The 8,324-nt window shown below is 49.3% G+C and overlaps 2 protein-coding genes across 2 annotated transcripts; one reads left to right on the top strand and one right to left on the bottom strand.

Annotated features, from left to right (window-relative positions):
* The first annotated feature begins 888 nt into the window (after nucleotides 1-888).
* On the top strand, nucleotides 889-3,019 carry CCL13 (C-C motif chemokine ligand 13). The gene is made up of 3 exons (NM_005408.3): nucleotides 889-1,011; nucleotides 1,884-1,998; nucleotides 2,435-3,019. Exons 1-3 carry the CDS (start codon nucleotides 936-938, stop codon nucleotides 2,538-2,540), a joined length of 297 nt encoding a protein of 98 aa, NP_005399.1. The 5' UTR covers nucleotides 889-935; the 3' UTR covers nucleotides 2,541-3,019.
* A 1,717-nt stretch (nucleotides 3,020-4,736) lies between these two features.
* CCL1 (C-C motif chemokine ligand 1) lies at nucleotides 4,737-7,642 on the bottom strand. The gene is made up of 3 exons (NM_002981.2): nucleotides 7,495-7,642; nucleotides 6,194-6,305; nucleotides 4,737-5,070 (listed from the first exon to the last, which is right to left on the bottom strand). Exons 1-3 carry the CDS (start codon nucleotides 7,568-7,570, stop codon nucleotides 4,968-4,970), a joined length of 291 nt encoding a protein of 96 aa, NP_002972.1. The 5' UTR covers nucleotides 7,571-7,642; the 3' UTR covers nucleotides 4,737-4,967.
* Nucleotides 7,643-8,324: the final 682 nt, after the last annotated feature.

Below are 8,324 nucleotides of genomic sequence, written 5' to 3' on the forward strand. Positions count from 1 at the left end.
CCATTTTAAGCCATTCCCTCCCCACCTCCCAGCTCCCAGATATGTGCCCCTCGCAGGAGGAGCCCAGGAATGGGCCAAACACCTCACTTCTTTGCTCTGAGGGCCACCCCAGCCCTCCCATCAACAGCTCTAGAAACCCAATGGTCCTTCCTGGAAACACGGGGCCTGCATCAATCAGAGGTGTTTGAACCATGTCCCTCTGGGCCTGAGGGGCAGAAGGGGACACAATATGTAATGTAAGGAGCCCCTGTCATCAGAAATCTGACTTAATCTGTTTCAGATATTAGACTTCCACATAAAAGTTGACTTGGAAAAAGACTTCTGCTGCTAAACAAAAGTTGAAACTGCCTTGGTGATAAAATATAAGCAGACCAGCTTTCTCTTCTAGCTTTCCCTCTCATTTCCCATAAGATTTTGGTCAAGTTATTTAATCTCTCTGCATCCGTTTCCTCTTCTATGAAATGGGCATGATAATAATGGTATGTACCTCCTCAAACTAAATATATAACGTGAACAGAGTCCTTAGCACAGCACTCTTTCTCTACAGGAGTTAATTTTCATTGTTTTTCTCTTTCCTGTTGGAGAAAGTAAGAAGAAAACAGCTCCTTTATGGCTTCCCATGGTGAATGGCTGGGGCGCGTCTGTGTCCCTTTCTCCTCTCTGGCTCCTTGTGGCCTGAACAGCCAGAAGGAAGCCATGCCATGCTGTTTCAGCCCTCAGCTTCCCTCTTGCATTTCCTAGAAAAGTCTTTGGTGCCCAGCTCCAGCTCAGCAGATTCAGGATCCCCCTTCATCATGACTTGGTCAACGCCCTGCTCAGGCCAAGGTCCTCTGAGAGTTCCAAGCTTCTCCACTCCCTATAAAAGGCCGGCGGAACAGCCAGAGGAGCAGAGAGGCAAAGAAACATTGTGAAATCTCCAACTCTTAACCTTCAACATGAAAGTCTCTGCAGTGCTTCTGTGCCTGCTGCTCATGACAGCAGCTTTCAACCCCCAGGGACTTGCTCAGCCAGGTAAGTCACCTCCCTTCGACTCTCCCTCTCTTTCCCTCTGTTTCTCTATTCAAGGAAGACCTAAGCCCGAGTGCTCCTCCACTTTTTTTTTAGATTGAGTCTCATTATGTTGCCCAGGCTGAAGTGCAGGGGTGCGATCTTGGCTCATTGCAACCTTCACCTCCCAGGTTCAAGCGATTCTCTTGCCTCAGCCTTCTGAGTAGCTGTGATTACAGGCACCCGCCATCACGTGCAGCTAATTTTTGTATTTTTAGTAGAGAAGGGGTTTCACTATGTTGGCCAGGCTGGTCTCAAACTCTTGACCTCAAGTGATCCTCCCGTCTCGGCCTCCCAAAGTGCTGGGATTACAGGCGTGAGCCACCAGGCCCAGCCAAGTGCCCCACTTCTAAGCCCACCAGAATAGTAAGGCTCCTCAGAGGTTCACTTTAACATCTAATTTTAAAGATAGAAAGCTGAAGCCCATGTTGGAGGCAGAAGGGACCCTAGCCATCCACCTCCAGGTTATTGCAGAGCAAGAATGAAACCTAAGCTTCTGACTCCAGATTTAGGGCCTTTTCTTTGACCTCATCTGATCGTCCCAAACTCTGCAGATCTGGGACCACACCCAGGACCTTTCCCACTGGCCTTGCCCGTGGCCTCCCCTAGATGGCTGTGACATGTCTCCACCATGCAGCTGAGCCTTTGAGATCCTGAGGCACATGTCACAGGTCCCACCTCACCTCAGGGTCTAGGGTGGGAGTGCTGGGCTTGGGGGTGAGTAAGATCTATTTCTTCCTCTTTGCTTTGCATCCCATACAGATGCTCCCTGCTGTATTCAAGCTGAGAAAAGCCTAACACATCCTCAAAGTCTTTTTCTTTGTAACTATTTCTAGATGCACTCAACGTCCCATCTACTTGCTGCTTCACATTTAGCAGTAAGAAGATCTCCTTGCAGAGGCTGAAGAGCTATGTGATCACCACCAGCAGGTGTCCCCAGAAGGCTGTCATGTGGGTAGAAAAATCCCTGCTCACCTGGCTCCTCCCCACTCCCACATTCCCCAATCCAAAGTTCTGCCCCAGGAGACAGACGTCAGACTGACTTGAGATCTTAGGATGAGATCTAGCCAGACTGTGTGATGCAAATCCTCCAATTTTGGCTGCACAACAGGTCCAAAGAGGACCTATAATTTCCCACACCTTGTTTCCTGGATGGGCACCAGCCCACACCCTTTAGCAGATGCCAGGATCAGTTTCCCAGGGGCAGCAAGAGCAGTGGCTGCCTCCAGAGACCCCTTCTGTCCACACACCTCCTACTTCCTGTCCTGGAGGGGTGCCCCTTCACCTGTAGTAGGTGGACCAGGCAGGTTTAGAACCCAGTGTGTCATCTCCTGGGTAAACCCTCAAAGGGTTCCATCTAACTGTGCCAGATCTCCTTCCTCCACAGCTTCAGAACCAAACTGGGCAAGGAGATCTGTGCTGACCCAAAGGAGAAGTGGGTCCAGAATTATATGAAACACCTGGGCCGGAAAGCTCACACCCTGAAGACTTGAACTCTGCTACCCCTACTGAAATCAAGCTGGAGTACGTGAAATGACTTTTCCATTCTCCTCTGGCCTCCTCTTCTATGCTTTGGAATACTTCTACCATAATTTTCAAATAGGATGCATTCGGTTTTGTGATTCAAAATGTACTATGTGTTAAGTAATATTGGCTATTATTTGACTTGTTGCTGGTTTGGAGTTTATTTGAGTATTGCTGATCTTTTCTAAAGCAAGGCCTTGAGCAAGTAGGTTGCTGTCTCTAAGCCCCCTTCCCTTCCACTATGAGCTGCTGGCAGTGGGTTTGTATTCGGTTCCCAGGGGTTGAGAGCATGCCTGTGGGAGTCATGGACATGAAGGGATGCTGCAATGTAGGAAGGAGAGCTCTTTGTGAATGTGAGGTGTTGCTAAATATGTTATTGTGGAAAGATGAATGCAATAGTAGGACTGCTGACATTTTGCAGAAAATACATTTTATTTAAAATCTCCTACACAGTGGTGTTTTCTTCAGGAGTAACTGCCAACCAGTAGGGGCTCTCAGAGGTGTGGGTGGATGGCATGCCAGTGGAAGGCAGATGTACAGAGGCCCTGGCCATGGGGCTAGCCTGGCTCATCTGAGTTTCAAGGAGGGCCTGCCTCACCAGCCCAGGCTGTTCTGGAACAATGGCTCCAGTCCCCAGCATGGGCGCTCCTGGCTCGCAACTCATCCGTTTCATATTCAGTTCATTTCTTTCTTTAAAACCACACTCCTGCCAAAAGTAAACCCATCCCTCCCCCTCTAGTCTCCCACCCCAATCTATGCCTCCCCACTCCAAGCAGCAAGTGATTCAGACTTCATGTGCACCTGACACTCAGAGGGAAACCAGATGACCAAGTCCTAGTGAGCCTCAGGATTGGTAGGGAAGAGGGTGCTTGGGCCTAATGGACTTTAGAGGATGGGGAAGTATGGTCATAGCAAAGATTCTTTTAGGGGAGGTCCAAGATAGCAATGTGGGGAGAGGGCCTGGGGGGAATATCCCCAAACGGTCCGATATGGGCTTCCAGAATGTAAAAGTTGGAGACATGTAGAAATGAAAGTTGAGGGCAGGTTCTAGAGGAATTAGAATATCAGGGTGGGGAGTTTAGACTCAGTTCTGAAGGCAGGAGGAAGGTGCAAAGGTTTTTGAGTCATCCAGAGGGAAGAATGGATGCCAGGAAGACTAGCTATTGGCTGTGGATAAGATGGAGTTGAGAAGGGAGGGCGGAAAACAGCCTACTGCAATAGTCCAAGCAAGAGAAAATAGGGGCTGAAGAAGGGCAGTCATGGGGGTGGAGAAGAGGAGGCAGATTAAGAAGACTGGGCCAGATGTGTGACATGTTGAATGGGGAATGAGGGAAACACAGCATGAGACCTTTGCCCTCTAAAAGTGATCTTTAAAGGCGTGCCAACCCCAAGACCTAGAAATACTTCCTTCCTTGGCTATTCTTCCTTGAATCACACGTTGTACAAATTGAAGCTTGTGATTGTCCCTTTTAAAGCGTTGGCCCTCCTCTTCCTATATGTCCACCAAGGGTTTATCCTGCTCTTCCCAAGACAGCCTCACTCCTCCAGATAAGCTGGGTGGGCATCTCAATCAGACCCAGAACCTACCCATGCCTGGACACCCACTGAGATCTTCCTCAAGAAGAGATGGGCACTGCTGACAACAGCAGGGCCTGTCCCCCAGATCTGGTACCACACTGCATCAGGCAGTACACTTGGCAATGTGGGACACCTGGAGGAGTTGTCCTAGGAGGCAACAGCTCTAGGCTCTAATGCCAGATCTGCCCCTGAATTGCTGCATCTCTCTTTAGCCCTCAGTCACCTCATCTATAAAATGGGTTTAGCAACATTTTACAGGCAGACAACCTCACATGATCCCCTCCAGCTAGGGCAGTTGTGATTTGGTGATAACATCACCCCCCAAGCCCTCTGGGCAGGGCAGGGAGAAGAAGAGTCCTGCACCCAAATGTGGATCCAGCTGTGAACCCCAGCTTTCTGTTCCACTGTACCACTCCTGGCAGCCAAATCTGGAGGCAGAGAATCTGCACCACCACCCTGACTCAAAGCTTACACCCCAGGACAAAGGCAGTCACTGAGAGCTAGTGAGTCACTTATTAGCCCAGTTCCCCTGGCACCAGGTGCAACATGTCTCCCTCCTCCTGACCCATCCTTCAGCCCCTGGCTCCCACCTCTCAATGCCAATCAAGTTTTCACTCTGAAATCCAAGAGACCCAGAGGGTTGGGGGTTGATGATTGTATAATTTAAATGTTTAAAGTGCAACAACATAGCTTATCAAGACCAAGCAGATCCTCTGTGACCTAGCAAAAGCAGGGCAGAAGGAATGGTGTAGGGCTGGTAGTTTCGGGGACAGGTGAAGCCATGTGGTTTCCAGAGCCCACAATGGAAAGAAATCTGCTCATTTTCTTTTTGACGGGCAGTGCCTCAGCATTTTTCTGTGCCTCTGAACCCATCCAACTGTGTCCAAGGCGCAGGCCTCTTTGCCTCTCTTCAGCTTGAATCTGTGAACAGAGAATAAGAGAGAAGGCTGAGCCACCCAAGCCACCACTGGGTGGGCAACGCACAAGCCCCGCCTCCTCCGGCTGCCAGGTCCCCTAAACTGCTCTTGCTAGGCCTTGGGCTCCCCTCTGTAAATGAAGTTGCTGCACAGGATGTGTGGTTTGCACGCTGGGGAACAGCCAAAGCACCAGGAGCTTATGAATTGAATTTCCTGGACCCCTCTCCTGGTTTCAATTTGGTGTATCAGGGTGGGGCTGAACAGCCTGAAAACATTCTGACGATTAGGTGAGATGAGAAATTCCCATCCTGGAATAGCTCTTTGCACCAACTTTAATGTTTCTGTGTCCATCTGGGGCCTTACTTGTTGCGTTGGACTCATGTGTTTGTGTGTGTGTGTGTGCGCGCGCCTTGTGTGTGTGTGGGTGTGTGTATTTTTCTCTTCTGATCTGTCTACTTCCTAAACTGGACTATTGTCCAATCTATAGACCAACTCTATCTCTTACTCTCTGGTTGATCTTAGACAAATATCTCTACCTTCCTGAACCTCACTTTTCATGATAACAAAAATATGTGCCCCAAGAGGATCGACAGAGAGAATATACATGAAAAAGCCTTAAAATACTGACTGGTTTGTGAAAGCTACTCCAATTAAGTTTGTAAAGACCCTGTGATACAGCTATGTTTATGACCCTTCACAGATAAGGAATACAGAAGGATACACAGACAATTCAGTACAAAGGAGTTACCTGTCCACGGTCACCCAAGACTATGGGTTCCAAATCCAGGGGCAGGAACTCATCCTGGTTCCCTTGCTCTTTCCAGTGCACAATAACCCCTCATGCTTTTGTTAAACCTCTGAGCTCATAATGCTGGGATACAATACTTGGCACCTTGGAGTTTCAGGAAACACAAGCCACTGCAGGAGCACAGATGCATCCTTCCTCACACCTGCTAGGAAGCTCAGCGCTCCCTCTAGCGCCCAAGTGTGGCTTGCACCCAGGTGCTGGCAGCTCTGGGTTTAGAAACCTTATTCTGGTAAAATACTGTCATCTAGTGTCTACTCTTGTAATTCCAGGCTGGCGGGGTTCTGTTCTCTAGGGAGAGATTGAGCAGGTGATCACTTACATTAAGCCCTCATTGGAGCAGATGGAGCTGGTATTTCTGTAACACAGGATTGCCCTCAGGGGAATCTCTTGCTCCGCAAATGAGAAGCAACATCTGGAGAAGGGTACCTGCACTAGAAGAGGAACACAGACGATGGTTTGCATCCATTTCTCAACCTCTCACCTGTAGCACAATTTTTAAAAAACAAACAAAAAAACGCCTCCCAGGACAAGCCCTGGCTTGGGGACCACATCCAGACGGTGCCGGCATAGCTCTGCCTCATCAGCCACCTTGTTCTGGGGCTAGGTAAAGAGTCAGAAGATTGGGGTTCAGATCTGAGCTCCCCGCACCCCAGCTGAGTGGCCCTGAGGAAGATGTGCCTTCACCCTGGCCCCAGACTTCCCATCTGTAAAATAAAACTTTTTGGAGCCTGGTTTCTAAAGGCTCATCCAGTTTTGGTATTTCACCACATGTGCATGGTTCTGCCCCAGTATTCATGTCCAAGGGCTCTGGACCCCACACCCTGGGGACCTGGTTAGTCTGATGCAGGACACAGTGGTCCACAGTTCACAGACCTGATCTGGGGAAGATTAGGAATTGTTCGAGGAGTCCAAACTGATGAGATGACAAGGGAAGAGCTCCCAGGAACTAGCTAGCTGCCCTACTCAGTCTCTTGAATCCCCTCCTGCCCTGGTCCTTAGCTCTTTCCCAGCCCCCAACCCCCACTCTGTCCATTTGTGCATTCTCCTCCCACACCACATCCCGCAAGAGACCTGCATTCCAATCCCAGCTTCTTCCTCCTAGTTTTTCTGTTTGCACCCCCTTTCATGCCTCTTACTAGGTTGGTATTCTCCAAACAGTCTTGGAGGGCAGACATCATCAACTCCATTTCACTGATAGAGAAAGTAGAGTTTGAGAGCTAAAGTGACTTGCCCAAGAGTGACCAATTGTTAGAGCCCGGTCTTGCCTTCTGACTCTACTTGGTGTCTGTCACACTGTAGAAGCTACACCCAGGCTGTCCCCTGGACCTTAGGCCTCCCAGCTTTACCCGAGTAACCTCACAGGTTCCCTTCCTTGGGTCTGGATGAAGCAGAGCCTCCTTGTACTGAAGCTGTCAGTTCAGTTCTCTGTGTTTGCCCCAACTCATGGTTCTCCTACTAGCCCTCACCCCAGCCTGTCCAAGTTCACCATTCCTCCTCTTTAGGTAGGAAGAGGGGAGATAGAGTTGGTGAGTTCAAGGAGAAGCCTGCTCCAACCCCAGAGTGGCTGACCACGTTTCTGCCCTCCCCAGAGAGAAGCAAAATGATGCCTGCCACACTCACTGCTCTTGCTGTCCACATCTTCCGGCCACATCCCAGCTAGCAGCAAGCACACCAGGGCTGTGGTGATGATCTGCATGTCTTCTGGTCTGGCTTGGGCCTTCCTGGAGCAGCTTTGATGAGCCTGGTGAAGCTAAGAGCTCACCACTGTGCCGTCCTGCAATGCTGAGGGCTTTTATTTGAAAAACTCCACCCAAAACTCCAGGCCATGGTGGGAGCCACAAGTGGGAAGCCATAGGGACAGGGAACAGTTGCTCACACCCAGCGACCATGTGGTAAACTCCTTTCCCCACCTCTCCTGGCTGGTATTCGTGGTGGTGATGGATTGATAGGTTGCATTGGGAACTTCCCTAAGTGTGGGAGCAGATAAGAATCTTGAAAAAGTGCGTGGGAACTGTCCTGGTTGAGTGGGAAGCAAAGAAAAGTAAGTGAGAGGAAGTGGCCTCTGTGTGGCTTGTCCAACCCTACGTCATTCCATCCAAGTACTACTGCTTCAGGGCAGAAGAGTCTGGACCTGAACAGAGATACACCTGCATTTGAATCCCAGTTCTGCAGAGGAGGGATTACATAAACTTACCCAAATTCATATTCACACAAAATGCAAATAGCAATACATGTCTCAAGGACGTGCGATAAGAATTAAATAACATTCTCTATGTCCAGTGACTGGCCTAGATATTTGCCATTTCTATTTTTTCTATTTTTTTAATCCTCAACAATTTTCAATAGCTTATTCTGTTCTAGGTCCTTGGTTAGCCCCAGAGAAGGCAGTTACCAATGAGGAGCACTGCCTGACCTCAAGCAACTTCTCTTCAATTCACAGATAAACAAGT

This window comes from Homo sapiens, chromosome 17 (genome assembly GCF_000001405.40).
Source record: "Homo sapiens chromosome 17, GRCh38.p14 Primary Assembly".
In the NCBI taxonomy this organism is placed as follows: Eukaryota; Metazoa; Chordata; class Mammalia; order Primates; family Hominidae; genus Homo; species Homo sapiens.

Bases quoted from the DNA above. Each gene is read 5' to 3' on its own strand.
- CCL1 (NM_002981.2), bottom strand. From the start codon at position 7,570: ATGCAGATCATCACCACAGCCCTGGTGTGCTTGCTGCTAGCTGGGATG. The intron at 6,306-7,494 runs GTGAGTGTGGCA...TTCCTCTTCTAG, and splicing joins AGATGTGGACAGCAAGAGCA to TGCAGGTACCCTTCTCCAGA. The intron at 5,071-6,193 runs GTAAGTGATCAC...CTCTGTTCACAG, and splicing joins TGCTCCAATGAGGGCTTAAT to ATTCAAGCTGAAGAGAGGCA.
- CCL13 (NM_005408.3), top strand. From the start codon at position 936: ATGAAAGTCTCTGCAGTGCTTCTGTGCCTGCTGCTCATGACAGCAGCT. The intron at 1,012-1,883 runs GTAAGTCACCTC...AACTATTTCTAG, and splicing joins CCAGGGACTTGCTCAGCCAG to ATGCACTCAACGTCCCATCT. The intron at 1,999-2,434 runs GTGGGTAGAAAA...CTTCCTCCACAG, and splicing joins TGTCCCCAGAAGGCTGTCAT to CTTCAGAACCAAACTGGGCA.